The sequence below is a fragment of the Homo sapiens genome, chromosome 8, assembly GCF_000001405.40.
Source record: "Homo sapiens chromosome 8, GRCh38.p14 Primary Assembly".
Classification (NCBI taxonomy): Eukaryota; Metazoa; Chordata; class Mammalia; order Primates; family Hominidae; genus Homo; species Homo sapiens.
The window spans coordinates 81907334-81924327 of record NC_000008.11 but is presented as its reverse complement, the minus strand read 5'-3'; the positions used below and the strand labels follow the sequence as shown (position 1 = coordinate 81924327).

Sequence of the window (16994 nt, the reverse complement as noted above, 5' to 3'; positions counted from 1 at the left end):
TTTTATGCAGCTTCATATTTGCCATAGGAACTTTGTCAAATTCTATATCTGAAAGTATTATACAACTTAAATAGACATGACAGAATAAAAATAAAATAAAATTATTACCAAATGAATCATATTGAAATATAATTATTTAGTAAGTTAATCAAAATTTCTATATTATCAGACCAAAAATCATCTGACATAAGGTTTTTTATCAGCAAGATGTGACAAGGGAACAATGTTTCAAATTTCTATAGGAAATTATACCTTTACTTCTATATCGAGACAAATTATAAATAAAACGTGAGTCCCAACTACAGATACTTTCAGATATTCAGATGAAATGGGAGAAGTTCCCTTATCCCCCTCACACGGCATGCAACGGGTGTGGCTCGCTTCTTCGGTGACCTGCTGCTCAAACTCCTGAGGGGAGCATGCAGATGAGCAGGTCGTGGGGAGTGTTTTGGGGCTCTGACCCCACGACAGTGTCTAGGGTTGAGTGTTTGCAGCTCCCGAAGCCCCAGTGGGCATGTGTTGTGGTGTGCTCTTTCAGCTTTGCCTTCTGCAGGTGGCTTGTGTTAATCAGCTCCACTAGACCCTGTGCCTTATCACACGGACAGAGGGCTTTCTGTATCCCGGGTTCTTGCCCTAGTGTACCCAAGAAGTCGGATCACACGTGGGCTTGGAGGATGCGTGCAAGGTTTTATTGAGTGGTGGAGGTAGCTCTCGTGAGATGCATGAGGAGCCCCAAGGGGGATGGAGTGGGAAGGTAGTCTTCCCCTGGAGTCAGGTCGCCCAATAGCCAGACTCTCCTCCAACTGCCCCCAGCCAAATTCCACATCATGCAGCCATCGATGGCCTGATGTTGTCTGCTGGTGTCTGTTGCTGTGTTCTTCAGCTCTCTTGACGTCCCGCCACTTGTGTCTGTGCCTTCTCAAGTCTTGGGTTTTTATGGGTACAGGATGGGGCGCATGGTGGGCCAAAAGGCAACATTTGGGGCATGAAAACAGAAATGCCTGTCCTCATTTAGGTCCATGAGCACAGGCCTGAGAGTGGAGCCCTCACCAGGGACCCCACCCTTCTCTACCCAGCACTTCCCTGCCCCCCTCCCATATCACAAGGACTCAAAATATTAACTCACTAGTTTTTCTAGGAAATTCATTTGACTTTGTACACTTCAGGGTGAAAAACACAAAGAAGAAGAGAGGATATGAAAAGTTGTAAGCTCTCCCAGATTCCAACAGAAGGATGTCCCAGGATGACAGTCATGTAGCAATTCTAGAAAATAACTGGACCAAATTAGAACAGGAAGTCAGTGAGCTCCAAAAAGAAGTTCCTCATAAAGAATGCCAGGAGGAGAAACACAAAAGTATGTTTGATGAAAAATTCATGGTTCAGTTATGAAGCAAATTTCAATGAGGTGTGATTTTCAGCAATTAAGAATAAGATAATCCATTTGACCTTAATTCTGGTGTGATTCTTCTTCTAACAGTGAAGTCTTGACAGTGGACTGCTAGGAAGAGAATGCTAGCATACCATTTGGATCTGAAGCTAAAAACATTAAAATAATAAAATTTATTTAGAATCAACCTATAAACAAATACTGAGATATTTATTTAAATGTAGATAATTCATGGAATATTTCTGTAGATATGGATATAAATAAAGCATGGAATATTTACATTGAGCCAAGTAATAAATTAACAACAGAAGACCCAATTATACCTGCAGAGTCAAATATAAATATTATCAACATTAATAATGTGAAAGTAAAATTATAAGTGGCAAAATTTGAAAATGAATAATAAAGTTGCAAAAAACCATGTTTTAACATTAGTTCAAAATCAAGAGTTACTGTCTGAATATGATGAAATAATACATATAAATTTACATACAATGTTTAAAATTACAAGGGGAGCTAATGGAATAATTAATAATACTAATCTCAATAATTGGGAGGACAGAAAGGGATTAAATAGTATGAGTTAAATATGTATCTTTCATAATAGAGGCAACAGAGTCCATATTTCAAGAAATAGCTTATTGTATAAAGGTATGGAATCAACCAACAAATGATAATAACAGTTGAAAATGATTGCTTCTGCCAAGTGAGTAGGCAGAGTAGAACTTTTTATTATAACCTTTTCTGTACTAGTTGAGTTTTTAGCATGCCCATTCTGCTCTGATAAATTAATTTTAAATAAAATATGAGTATTTCATATACAGTGCCATGTAAACTTCACCAACAAATTAATGCCTTGAATATATTGCCATTGATGTGAGCTAAAGAAAGCATATAAAACCACAAATAGAGCAATTTTTAAGAGGCAGACCATGGTTATATGTCATATAAAATTTCATTCTATATATAATTTCATTAGCAATAAAATAAAGATTAATTCAACAGGAATCATTTTACTTCTAAGTATTCTGCAGGCAATGCTCTTTTAAGCTAAAAGAAATGCAAACAATCAAAATACTGCTAAGCAGTCATGATGTTAAGTCACAGCTGAAAAGATACAAGCTATCACTAAATTAAGAACTTCAATAAAATTCTTAAAAGCATAAGAATGTTTAATTATATTCCAATAATGAGAAATATCAATAATGTAAAATGTTGACCACAATCTCCAACAGAATTTCTGAGCCATCCACAATCTTCCCATTAAAATTTAGCTGTCACCAGTTAAAATAATAGAGAATATTTCTCCTTCAAAGATACAATTTTAGTGTTCATAAGCCCTTCTCTCCACTGGCAGTCTTTCTTATTGTATGTGGTTCAAAAGTCCAGGTTATTTTAACACAGCTTTAGAAATCTTAGACCTCAAACTTTATAAGAAAGATGTAATTGAAAAGTTTACATTTCGATTTTGCATTACTCGATGAGCTTAGATCCTGAAAACCCCAACTGTCTTGCAATCTTCTCAGCTTCAACCTTCCTCCAGGCAGACTGGATTCACCTGGGAACAAATCCTTTGACTCACTAGGTCTTTGTCATTACACATTTACTTTCACCTGTGTCTTATGAATACTCTATTTCTGACCAAAGCCTTGAAGAAATAAGCATATTTTTGGCTTATACTCCATATCTACAACTTCACTTCAAGTAAAATCTACTCTTCTCACATAGCCACCTAGCAGCTAATAATACCTTAGAGTAGTGTGTTCTAAACAACCTTTCTGCTCTGAAATGCATGTATTGACAATTACTATATGTAAAGGTAAATTCTGTTATGTAAGTGATTGAAGGATTATAGAACCCAGTATTTTTTATACAACTTGTACTATAACTGAGAAATGGACCAGGCAGTCTCTGTAGGCATGTTTCCAGTCTTCAGGAGCCAGCCATTCTTAAAATTCCTAGAAACTGGCAGTGGGAGGAGACTTATATAGTCAGTTGAAACATGATATTAAGAGAGTGGTAGTACATGGTGATCCAAACAGTTTTGTTACTTCTTCTAAATCACTCTCAGTATGGCAGAGTTGCAGAGATCCAACAAAAAGTAAAAAGCAGAAATCCCAGAAACGTTGGAAAGCACAGGAGCTAATGTTAGCAGGAGAGAATATATCCAAGTCATACAGCACCGAAGTGGCCACAAATCTGTATGGGCCTGCAGCAACCTCAATTCTTCCCTCCTCAGAAGAAAGAATTCAACTGAGGGGCATAAGGCAGAAGGTGAGACCAAGGCAACTTTTAGAGCAAGAGTGAAAGTTTATTAAAAATCTTTAGGTCGGGCACAGTGGCTCACGCCTGTAATCCCAGCACTTTGGGAGGCTGAGGCAGGCGGATCACCTGAGGCTGGGTGTTCGAGGCCAGCATGACCAACATGGTGAAACCCTGTCTCTACTAAAGATACAAAATTAGCCAGGCATGGTGCTGCGTGCCTGTAATCCCAGCTACTTGGGAGAATAAGGTGCAAGAGTCGCTTGAACCTGGGAGGCAGAGTTTGTAGTGAGCCACGATTGCGCCATTGCACTCCAGCCTGGGCAACAAAAGCAAAACTCTGTCTGAAAAAAAAAAAAAAAGCTTTAGAGAGCCGGGCGCAGTGGCTCACACCTGTAATCCCAGCACTTTGGGAGCAAGAATGACAGGAAGGAAAGTACATTTGGAAGAGGGCCAAGAAGACTACTCGAGAGATCGAGTGTACTGTTTGACCTTTGACTTAGGGTTTTATATGTTAGCAGGCTTCCAGGGTCTTGTGTCCCTTGTCCCCTGATTCTTCCTTTGGGGTGGGCTGCCTACATGTGCAAAGACTTATCGGCATTTGGAAGGGGCAGCATGCACAGTGTGTTTAATGGAGTTGTATGCATGCTTACTAGAGGCGCTCTTCCCTTAAACAGTCCAAATGTTCCTAGATGGTCATATGCCAGTTAAACTCCACCTTTTTGCCTCTCAGTGTACATGCAGGAGCACACTTGCCCAGCTCCTGAGATCTTATGGGGAAACTGCTTGTCATGCCTGTCTGTGTGAAGAGACCACCAAACAGGCTTTGTGTGAGCAACAAGGCTGTTTATTTCACCTGGATGCAGGTGGGCTGAGTCTGAAAAGACAGTCAGTGAAGGGAGATAGGGGTGGGGCCGTTTTATAGGATTTGAGTAGGTAGTGGAAAATTATAATCAAAGGGGGTTGTTCTCTGGTGGGCAGGGGCTAGGGTCACAAGGTGCTCAGTTGGGGAGCTTCTGAGCCAGGAGAAAGAATTTCACAAGGTAATGTCATCACTTAAGGCAGGAACTGGCCATTTTCACTTCTTTTGTGATTCTTCACTTGCTTCAGGCCATCTGGATGTATACGTGCAGGCTTGGGCTCAGAGGCCTGACATTCGTGTCTTCTTATATTAATAAGAAAAGTAAAACAAAATAGTGTTGAAGTGTTGGGGTGGTGAAAATTTTTGCGGGTGATATAGAGAGAAAATGGGTGATGTTTCTAAGGGCTGCTTCGAGTGGGATTAGGGGTGGCGTGGGAACCTAGAGTGGGAGAGATTAAGCTGAAGGAAGATTTTGTGGTAAGGGGTGATATTGTGGGGTTGTTAGAAAAAACATTTGTTATATAGAGTGATTGGTGATGGCCTGGATATGGTTTTGGATGAATTGAGAAAATAAACGGAAGACACAAGGTCCGAATAAGAGAAGGAGAAAAACAGGTATTTAAAGGACTAAGAATTGGGAGGGCACAGGACATCCAATTAGAGAGTGCCCAAGGGGTTTCAGCTTGGTTGGTGAGTTTTTGGGCTCTATCCTTGACAGAGTCCTCCTTTTTAAGTTGGAGGCTGAGCTTGGTGAGGTTGTTTTTTTTTTTTTTTTTGAGATGGAGTCTCACTCTGTCGCCCAGGCTGGAGTGCAGTGGCGGGATCTCGGCTCACTGCAAGCTCCGCCTCCCGGGTTCACGCCATTCTCCTGCCTCAGCCTCCCAAGTAGCTGGGACTATAGGCGCCCACCACTACGCCCGGCTAATTTTTTGTATTTTTAGTAGAGATGGGGTTTCACCGTTTTAGCCGGGATGGTCTCGATCTCCTGACCTCGTGATCCGCCCGCCTCGGCCTCCCAAAGTGCTGGGATTACAGGCGTGAGCCACCGTGCCCGGCCGGTGAGGTTGTTTTTAAAAGACCATTAGTCCATTCTACCTTTCCTGAAGACTGAGGACAGTAAGGGGTATGAAGGTTCCACTGAATACCAAGAGCCTGAGACACTGCTTGGGTGATTTGACTAGTAAAGGCCGGTCTGTTATTGGACTGTATAGAGGTGGGAAGGGCAAATTGAGGAATTATGTCTGACAGAAGGGAAGAAATGACGGTGGTGGCCTTTTCAGACCCTGTGGGAAAAGCCTCTACCCATCCAGTGAAAGTGCCTACCCAGTCCAAGAGGTTTTTTAGTTTCCTGACTTGGGGCATGTGAGTAAAGTCAATTTGCCAGTCCTGGGCAGGGGCAAATCCCTGAGCTTGATGTGTAGGGAAGGGAGGGGGCCTGAGAAATTCCTGAGTAGTAGTAGAATAGCAGATGGAACACTGAGAAGTGATTTTTTTGAGGATAGATTTCCACGATGGAAAGGAAATGAGAGGTTCTAAGAGGCGGGCTAGCGGCTTGTAACCTACAAGGAAGAGGTTATGAAATGACGACAAAATAGAATGGGCCTGTGAGGCTAGAAGGAGATATTTTCCGTCATCCAAGAACCATTTGCCTTGTGTGGGAAGAGATTGACAGGTGGAAGTTTCAGTGGGGGAGTAGGTGGGAGTGACCAGAGGAGAAAGAGAAAAACTGGCCATGAGGGACAGAAGTTGGAACACTAAGCTGCTTCTTTAGCTACCTTATCAGCATAAGCACTGCCCTGAGTGATGGGATCTGATGCCTTTTGATGGCCCTCGCCGTGAATGACTCCAGCTTCCTTTGGAAGTAAAGTGGCCTTGAGAAAAGTTTTTATTAAAGAGGCATTAACGACGGAGGACCCTTGCGTAGTGAGGAAACCTCTTTTTGCCCATACAACAGCATGGTGGTGCAGGATATGGAAGGAATATTTAGAGTCAGTATAAATATTGATGCGTAATTCTTTTGCAAGAGTGAGGGCTCCAGTTAAGGCAATGAGTTTGGCTTGCTGAGAGGTAGTGGAGGGGGGCAGAGTGGTAGCCTCAATGGTAGATGTGGAAGATACTATAGCATAGCCTGCCTTTGCTAGTGTGTGGCAATTAGGCCTGGTGGAACTGCCGTCAGTAAACCAGGTGTGATCAGGGTGAGGAACAGGAAAGGAGGAAATATGGAGAAATGGAGTAAATGCCAGGTGTATCAGAGAGATACAGCCATGGGGGTCAGGTGTGGTAGCAGGAATAATGTGGGAGGCCAGATTGAAGTCTGGGCCAGGAACAATGGCAATTGTAGGAGACTCAACAAAGAGTGAGTATAACTGAAGGAACCAGGGAGCAGAAAGTATATGCGTCAGGTATGAGGAAGAAAATAGATTTTGGAAGTTATGAGAGCTGTAGAGAGTGAGTTGAGCATAGTTTGTGATTTTTAGGGCCTCTAAAAGTATTAGAGTGGTGGCAGCCACCACATGCAGACATGAGGGCTAGGCTAAAACAGTAAGGTCAAGTTGTTTGGATAAAAAGGCCACAGGGCATGGTCCCGGTCCTTGTGTAAGAATTTTGACCACACAACCCTGCACTTCAGGTGTGTGTAATGAAAAAAAAAGGTAAGGATGAATCAGGGAGAGCTAGTGTGGGAGCGGTCTCTAAAGCTGTCTTCAAGGAATAGAAAGAGGAGTGGGGAAAGGATTTAGGATCTATGGGGTCAGCTAGGTTTCCTTTTGTGAGTTTATTTAATGGTTTTGTTAGGATGGCAAAACCAGATATCCAAAGGCGAAAGTATCCAAGCATGCCCAGGAAGGAAAGGAGTTGTTATTTTGTAGAAGGGGTTGGGGGTTGAGAGATCAGTTGGACATGATCGGCAGGGAGAGCACGTGTGTTTTTATGAAGAATTATGCCAAAATAGGTAATGGATGAGGAAGAAATTTGGGCTTGACTGAAGTAATGGGGGCTGTCGGTGAAGCCTTGCAGCAGTACAGCCCAGGTAAGTTGCTGAGGCTGATGGGTGTCAGGGTCAGTCCAAGTGAAAGCGGAGAGATGCTGGGATGAAGGGTGCAAAGGAACAGTAAAGAAAGCATGTTTGAGACCCAGAGCAGAATAATGGGTTTTGGAGGGGTTGTGGAGGGAGGTATTGAGGATAGGAGAGTATATGGGTTTGGCACCACGGGGTGGATAGGCAAGACAATTTGGTTGATAAGGCACAGATCCTGAACTAACCTGTAAGGCTTGTCCAGTTTTTGGACAGGTAAAATGGGGGAATTGTAAGGAGAGTTAATAGGCTTTAAAAGGCCATGCTGTAACAGGCGAGTGATAACAGGCTTTAATCCTTTTAAAGCGTGCTGCGGGATGGGATATTGGTGTTGAGTGTGGTAAGGGTGATTAGGTTTTAATGGGATAGTAATGGATGTGTGATCGGTTACCAGGGAGGGAGTAGAGGTGTCCTATACTTGTGGGTTAAGCTGGGGGGATATGAGAGGAAGATGTGAAGGAGGCTTTGGGTTGGGAAGAAGGGTGGCAATGAGATGTGGCTGTAGTCCAGGAATACTCATGGAAGCAGATAATTTGGTTAAAATATCTCGGCCTAATAAGGGAACTGGGCAGGTGGGAATAACTAAAAAAGAGTGCATAAAAGAATATTGTCCAAGTTGGCACAAGAGTGGGGGAGTTTTAAGGGGTTTTGAAGCTTGACTGTCAATACCTACAACAGTTATGGGGGCAAGGGAAACATGCCTTTGAAAAGAAGGTAATGTGGAGTGGGTAGCCTCCGTATTGATTAAACAGGGGATGGACTTACCCTCCACTGTAAGAGTTACCTAAAGTGTCTGTGATGTTCCAGGAGGCTTTCTAGGCAATTGGGCAGCATCAGTCTTCAGCCGCTAAGCTGAGAAGATCTGGGAAGGAGTCAGTCAGAGAGCCTTGGGCCAGAGTTCCAGAGGCTGCTAGGCGAGTTGGACAGTCCGATTTCCAGTGGGATCCCACACAGATGGGACATGGCTTAGGAGGAATCCTGGGCTGGGGGCATTCCTTGGCCCAGTGGCCAGATTTCTGGCACTTGAATTAAGATCCAGGGGGAGGAGGTCCTGAAGGAAGCCCTGACCACTGTGGCTTAGGCGTTTTGAAGTTCTTGTGTGCTGGAGATGTGGCTGGAGTTTCTCTCACAGTGGAAGCAAGGAATTGCAACTCAGAAATACATTGCTACTTGGCTGTCTCTATTATTGTACACCTTGAAGGCAAGGTTAATTAAGTCCTGTGGTGGGGTTTGAGGGCTGGAATCTAATTTTTGGAGCTTTTTTTTTTTTATGTCAGGAGCTGACTGGGTAACAAAATGCATATTGAGAATAAGATGGACTTCTGGCCCTTCTGGGTCTAGGGCTGTAAAGCATCTCAGGATTGCTGCCAAACGGGCCATGAACCAGGCTGGGTTTTTCATATTTGATGAAAAAGAGCCTAAACACTAACTGATTTGGGAGAGGTCAAATAAAGAAAATGGAGCATTAACCTTGGCTATGCCTTCAGCTCTAGCCACCTCTTTAAGAGGAAATTGTTGGGCAGGTGGGGGAGGGCTAGTTGTGGAACAAAACTGTAAGCCAGACTGGGTGTGGGGAGAGGAGGTGATAGAAGGATTACAGGGTGGAGGAGCAGAATCTGAGGAAGAATTGGAGTCTGATTCAGCCTGGTGGGGAGTGACCTGAGGAGCAGTCTGGGGATGAGGGGAGAGGTCAGATGGATCGGTAGAAAAGGAAGATTGAAAAGACTCAGCAATGCTTGGGGTTGGGACTGAGGGCACAGGCAGGAGGGAAAGAAGGAGGATTTGGGACGAAACGCATTGGGAACAGAGACTAGGGAGGGACCGATGTGTAAAAGAATGCCTGGACGTCAGACACCTCAGACCATTTGCCCATTTTACAACAAGAATTATCTAGATCTTGTAGGATGGAAAAATCAAAAGTGCCATTTTCTGGCTATTTGGAACTATTGTTGGGTTTGTATTGGGGTCAAGAGGCATTTCAGAAGAAAATAAGGCATTTAGGTTTAGGTCAGGTGTGAGTTGAAGAGGTTTTAAGTTTTGAGAACACAGGCTAAGGGAGAAGAGGGAGGAATGGAGGGTGGAAGTTTGCCCATAGTGAAGGAGGCAAGCCCAGAGAAAAGAAAGGGTAGAGACATGGAGAGAAGTGGTGGGGGGTGCTTGCCCCCCAGGAAAGTGGAGAGAAAAGAGAGGGTAGAGACAAGGAGAGAAGGAATTTCACAAGGTAATGTCATCAGTTAAGGCAGGAACCAGCCATTTTCATGTCTTTTGTGATTCTTCACTTTCTTCAGGCCATCTGGATGTATACGTGGAGGCTTGGGCTCAGAGGCCTGGCACTGCTGATCATCAGTTTCAGGTTTTTCTGTTTATTGGGAGACTGCCTTTCCCTGGCACTGGCTGTGACCAATTATTATTTTAGAGAGGCAGTTTAACAACTACCTGACCATCACCTGATGGTTGCCTGACATTTCTGGTGGGATGGGGAGCCTCTCTTGCCCTGCTTATTTATGACTAGTTACCTACCATAATAATAGCAATGATATCAACTATGAATTACATGTATTGAATATTTATTATGTGCCAGGTATTTTGCCTCTACTATCTCAATTAAACCTCAAAGAATCCTCATTTTATAGATTTTTAAACCAATACTTAGAAAGGATATCTAAATTGTTCATACCTAGCAAGTGATAGGATAGGGATTTAAACCAAGGCAGTCTGATTCCAAAGCCACCATGTTTAAGCAAGCTGCTACACAGCTCAAAACAAAGATTTATGCATAAAAGAGTAAGAGTGGCAGGTAGATTTTACTAGAGCTGAGCTCAAATATATAAACCAGGCATCAAAAGAAAAGGATGATTATTGGTCCTACAAAGAAAAATAAGGAAAGGGTAATTAACGATCTGTTGGACCAGTACTAAATAGAATTCAAAGGTGCCTTAATCCCTTCTGGAAACATTCTCTAAAACTCAAGATTGATACAGGAGGTAGTTAGGCATAAACCACAATTAACCAGTGCATGGGAAAGGCAAAACTAAGGGTTTTAGGGAAGTTGAAACTTTGCCTCTGAAAATTTGAGTCTAAGTCTGCTGAAATTATTTGACAATTTTGAAAATAAACACAATTTAAAAGCTGTTGGAACCCCCAAAACACTTTAAGCCTTAAGAAAGATGTGACTGTGATCTGAGTCACATATGGTTACAACTTCTATTTCTCAGATTATAAATTAACTCACTTTCTTATTTATCTTTTTCTTCACAGTGACTAGACAGAATTAAATGATATCAGGGACACAAACCTCTGCCTTTTAGTGACCCTTGTTACAGATTAATTTCTCATTTGTTGTCCTGCTTTGCTTAGACCAGATGACAGAAAACCCATGACTATTATGCCTTCCGTAAAAAGTGTTAAATATACCCTTCCCCAAAAGAAAAACCATCTGTAACCAATCACATTGCTGTAATTATGCTCTAGCCTTGTATGTAAAATGTTGTAATCCTGCTAAAACTCATCTCCCTCTGCCTATCTAAATGAAACCTAAACTTTCCTACTTCTGAATTCTAATTCCATCCCTTAGAAGTTGGTATTTCCAAGAAGGCTATCCTTAAATTCTGCACTTGAATAAACTCTCTTTAAATTAGATTCTGACTCTTTTGATTATTTTAGGTTGGCACAATAGATTATCAGGAGAAAAACAAAACTCATTGTATGCATAGGCATGGGGACCACACACAAAAGTATGAGACTCAAAGAAATCTCACATTTCTTTGAGAGTACTGAAGTTTTAATACCATATGGAAAGGAATAGAGGCTTGGAACATGGAGATCAGTTATGGGAGGGAGAGGGGAGGAATTGCATATCAAGCAAAAAGTATCTTGTTATGCAAATGAAATCTCTCAGGTAGCAGCTCTCAGATTAGATAATAGCCTATAGTGAAAGTTTCTCTGTTAGAACTTCAAAAGTGTCTCTTTTTCCTAAGTTAATCTTTCCTAGATCAAGATAATGTAGATAAGGTCTCAGAGAAATCCTGTTCGCATCTACTGTTTACTTCGCTAATGTAGATTTCCTCTACAGATGTAAATCTCCTCCACAAAAGGACAACTCTTCAGAACTATTCCTTTGTCTGTAGCCCCTCTGAATATCCATCTCAAAATATGCCAAAAAAGTATATTTTGGGGTGAGATACTCTACTTTCCTTCAGGGTGAACATATTTTAAGAGTTTACTTGTAAGTCATGGACATAAACGTGGAAATAATAGACACCGGGGACTCCAAAAGGAAGGAGGGTGGGAGTAAGGGTGAGGATTGAAAACTTACCTGCGGGTTACAATGCCCACTATTTGAGTAATGGGTACACTAGAAGGCCAGTCCCCACTAGTAGGCAATGTACCCATGTAACAATCATAAATATGTACTCCTTGAATCTAAAACTAAAAATTAAAAGTTTAAAAAAGAGTTTACTTATAAGTGATTTAAATTTTTATTAAGCATATTTTAATAAAAATAAATTTAAATCAATTCCCATAATGAATAAAGTATTAAAAAAAGAAAAGGAATATGAAAACCTACATGAATCAAAAAAGATTGACATAGAGATTTGCATGGAAAATGGGGGTGATGGAATCATGTGGTTCAATATTATATTGGTTTCAATGGGCCATTAATATTCATTTTTATGTTCAAATTGACATTTGTTTTCCTCTTTTCTATAATTTTTATGGTGGCAATTACATATTCCATATCTGCTGACCCATGAATCAGATATCCAATGAGACCCTCAGTAGTCTGATCCAAGAAAGGAATTATCTGGCCTTTTGAGGAATAGAGAGTAGAATCGACCTGACTGAAAATGACTCAAGATTCTACCACACCTGGTCTATATTGAGATATGGGTTTTAGGACCCTTTAGAATTGAAATACCATCTTCTTGGAGAATTTCATTTCCAAGTTTTGTGAATGTTAAATATAATGAACCCCAAGTTACTCTTCATATGTTCAGCTCTGTTATTCTTTTATTCTCCATTTTAAAGTTTAACTTCCTGGTTCTGTTCGCTCCCTTGCTTCTAATTTCAGTAAACAACTTTCCCACCAGTCCTAATTAGTAGTTCACATCTGTTCCCTGGTCACCTGCTCCATCCTGACTCATCCTGATCAGCTGCTTTGACCTAAGTCACTCCTGGTCACCTGCTCTGACCTAAGTCACCTCTAGTTACCTGTTCCTAAACGTCCTTCCCACCAAACTACTCACCCCACCACTCTGGCTCATACCCCTGACCTCTTTAAAATAGCCAATCAGAATTAGCTTAGACTGTGCCATCCAACCGTAGCCAATAGGGGAACAACACAGCAGTAGGGGCTACCTGCATCAGGAATAAGAACTCTTTCCCCTCCCCTGTCCAGGTATGCTCTTGCCATTACTCCATTCACAAGTCGCACCCTTCTATAGAAGTAAAAATTGCCTTGCTGAGAGAATTAAATTTATGTTCGAGTGCTATTTCTTTGCAGCACCAAGAAACAAGCATTTTGCATTTCTAACATGAATACATTTAAATATTAAATTTATAAATAGATGGATTGGTGGAAAAGTAGATAAGTGGCTTTCTCAGAGAACTCGTGAATATGCAATGTAAACTATGATGTGAGAAACTTAGTATAATCAAAAAGAATGAATTAAATTCAAATTTTTATCCAAAATAATACACTTTTGAGATTCCATCAGTAAATTGTTTGCCAAAATTACATAGGCCAAATGTAATATTCTATAAGACATTTCATGGCTTGTAACTTTGTGTGTAAAAACAACTCTTTAACTCTCTTATTCTCTAATTTGGCTCAATTTTTCTAAAGTTTCTCTTTTATATGGCCATTCAACGCAGCATGATTGCTGCATATAATATAATATGACAAGATTGCCCATTAACTTGTTTTCTAAAATACCCTTAAGTAACTGAGTTAATACAATATTTAGAATGGAGCAATCAGGTGGGAAATCTTGCTCTTAACTGTAGCGACTGCTGAGCACATAGATTACAGCAGTCTCCCTTCAGCCTTTTATTCATGAGCCTTCAATGACAATTTGTTCCTCCAGGAATCTAGTGCTCCAAATCAAACAAAAATTTTAAAGACAATGTTTTCTTCTTTAGAAAACAAATTTTAAAATATAATAAAGAGAATTATTCTGCTTGCTTTTTCTTCCTGTGTCTATGAAAACGTTCATACCAGTCTCCATTAACTGCTGAAGTGTGAAATGTATTCAGAACTTTAAAATTAATGTAGTTAACGTATGTTATTTCAGAAGAGAGTTTTTGTAAATGTTGGTCTTTTAAACCTCAATTTTTTCTTATCTAGTAAAGTGAAAATGTAGGATATACTGTTAAATGACATTTCTCTAACTACAACTTAAAGAATCAATTTTTTATCAATAGATCATAAATATTTGTATCTACCAGACATTATATATCGTTTACAACAGAATCTCCTGAGTAGTTACTATTTAATGCAAATTTCTAAGCTGTTGTCTAGATTTACTGAATCAGAATTTCTGGATATCAGGCAAGGTAAACTACATTTTAATTAGTCTCCCAAAGGTTCTTTGGACATATTAAAATTTGAAAGTGTTTGAATTATAGATTCCATAATTCCTCATCTGGATTCCTGGACTTATTTACTGAAGCTTTGTGCAGTGAAAAATACATGTATTTCTACCATATACATACATATGACAAATAAGTTACCAAAATATAATATTCAGATTTTAAATGTAGACTCATTATTTATAATATATTTTTATTTTCAAATATATAAGCCATAATGAATGAGATTTAAGGGAAATTTGATTTTTATTATTGTTAATGGTATTTTATTATTGTTAATGGTATGTGTATCAACCTTAGACCCAGAGCCAGATCAATGAAGTCATTACTTATTTATTCTTTAAATAATCTTATGCCAATCCTTCTACTAAGTGCTGGAGATACAAACATGTATTACACATAGTCCTTCTAGCATTAAACAAAAAAGACTGAAAAACAGATCTCAGCAATATAATGGCTTAATGCAGCACTAGAGATATGCAAAAGTATTTCTGGAAGCACCAAAGAGTACAACTATCTCTTGTTGGGTGGAAAATGAATGGAAAGTATAAAGAAAGGTTCCTTGGAGATGACACATGGGTTGGAACTTAAAAGTAGGAATTAGGTTGCATAGGATGAGAGTTAGAAGCATTCTAGGCACAGACTGTAGAATGAACAGAGATATAGAGATAAGAAATAGCATGGTATGTGCGATAAACTGAGTCATGTAGTGAACTGAAGAGAAAACGGAATGTCAGGAAATGGTTTAGATTTGAAACTTGAAAGACAGGCAAAAGCTAGATCATTAAATGCATAGTGAGAGATGTAAATTGTCTTGGACTTTAAATAATTTTTATTCTGCTTTTCCCTTCTCTGGGACTGAAAATACACATTTGATAGACTACTTGATATTGTCCCAAAAGTTCACTGAGACTGTGAAAGGAAAATAAAATTTTGGGACACCAAACTCACTATATCAAAGGGAAGTTCAGCTTGGGAACAGAGTCACACAAAATCTACCTTCCTTTTTGTTTCTAAACAGATAACTACAAAGATAGGAAGCCACATATCTCTCTAGATGGCTTCCTTCATAAATTCCTTCCAAGAGAATGGCTTATGGACAACAAAATCTTTACCCTAAAACATAATTTTGTTGAATTTCATCCATGTCCCTGCAAAGGACATGATCTCATTCCTTTTTGTGGCTGCACAGTATTCCATGGTATATTTGTGCCACATTTTGTTTATTCAGTCTATCATTGATGGGCATTTGGGTTGGATCCATGTCTTTGCTATTGTAAATAGTGCTGCAATAAACATACGTATGCATGTGTCTTTATAGTAGAATGATTTATATTCCTTTGGGTATATACCCAATAATGGGATTGCTGGGTCAAATGGTATTTCTGGTTCTAGATCCTTGACGAATCACTATACTATCTTCTACGATGGTTGAACTAATTTACATTCCCACCAACAGTTTAAAAGCATTACTATTTATCCACAGCCTTGCCAGCATCTATTGTTTCCTGACTTTTTAATAATCACCATTCTAACTGGCATGGTTTTGATTTGCATTTCTCTGATGATCAGTGATGTTGGGCTTTTTTTCATATGTTTTTTGGCCATATAAATGTCTTCCTTTGAGAAGTGTCTGTTCATATCCTCTGCCCACTTTTTGATGGGTTTTTTTTTATTGTAAATATATTTAAGTTCTTTGTAAATTCTGAATATTAGGGTCTAGTAATTTTTGATTAGGTGATGGATAGTGTGTATTTTACATTGCTGGGGTCTAGATTTTGGTCTGATAGGCAGTATATTTAGTTGATCCTTTTGAAGCTTGTTTTTAAGCTTTGAAGAGAGGGTATTAAAATACTCCCTCTCAATGGGTGTTCCACAAGATAATTAAACCCTAATGTCTAAGGCAATGCTGTAGATAATGAATTAATTTCTCTCTAATGTATTTAGAATGGTATTATACCAAGCTTGAAAGAATTAAGAAAATACTTATTCATATTATGTTTCATAAAACCTCAGTTGAAAAAGACAATTTAGGCACATGACTAAGGTATAACCCCTTTGACATCTCCCCTAAAGGCCAGGTGTTCAAAAAGACTCTTGATTCTAGCTGACCAAAACTCAAATGTCTCCCGGCCCTGTACGAATTCTAGAAACTTTTCAACTTACAGCTTTCCAGCAGTTTTTTTGCCTGGCCTCAGGGAGTTTCTTTTACATAGGCACAGCTTAGTATTTAGCAACAAACTCTACGGGATTCCTATACAGATTTTTTGACATTCTTTCTGCATGCAACTTTAACCTCTTTGTTATTCTGTTCACAAATTCCAGATGCATCAGTCTTCCTGTACACTAGACTCTGTCTGCTTAATTCAATGATACCACTGTGCTCTGATGGAGATAACCAACCCTGCACTGTAGTCCAGAAAGTGCCTGAAAGCAGAAAGCTGGGACTTATCTGACTGTAGGCTTATCTTATTTGTTTTCCTTCTTTCAGAACTGTGCCAACTGCTTGATCAATATCTGAAAATTGCTGCTTCATATGTAGTCCAGTTTTCTAGTTGTTTGTGGAAGGATGGTAAGTCTAGTTCCAGAGTGAAAGTTTCATCTTTGACTTTAAATTATACTTGATGGGGAGCCAATAAGGGATTTTAGTCAAAAGACTGCCATTGTTATATTTTTATTTCAGATCACTGTAGCAGTTCTATGGAAGAAAAATGTGAGAAAGATTAGACTGGTGAAAGAGAGAAGTTCCACAATTATTTAGAAGGTAAAATTATGAGGACTAGATGACTAATTCATATATATATATATATATTTAAAAT

The 16994-nt window shown here is 39.8% G+C and overlaps 1 long non-coding RNA gene across 8 annotated transcripts in view; it reads right to left on the bottom strand.

Moving 5' to 3' along the window:
- Positions 1 to 667: 667 nt before the first annotated feature.
- The window catches only part of LINC02235 (long intergenic non-protein coding RNA 2235), an 81042-nt gene continuing 64715 nt past the window's right edge, over positions 668 to 16994 (bottom strand). For 5 of the 8 annotated variants that reach the window (NR_170318.1, NR_170315.1, NR_170316.1 and 2 more), the window contains one exon: positions 668 to 1536. This is a non-coding gene — a long non-coding RNA (long intergenic non-protein coding RNA 2235). Of the gene's footprint in view, positions 1537 to 16341; positions 16874 to 16994 lie in introns of all 8 variants that reach the window. The other 3 variants (NR_170314.1, NR_170313.1, NR_170319.1) reach the window with 2 other exon arrangements.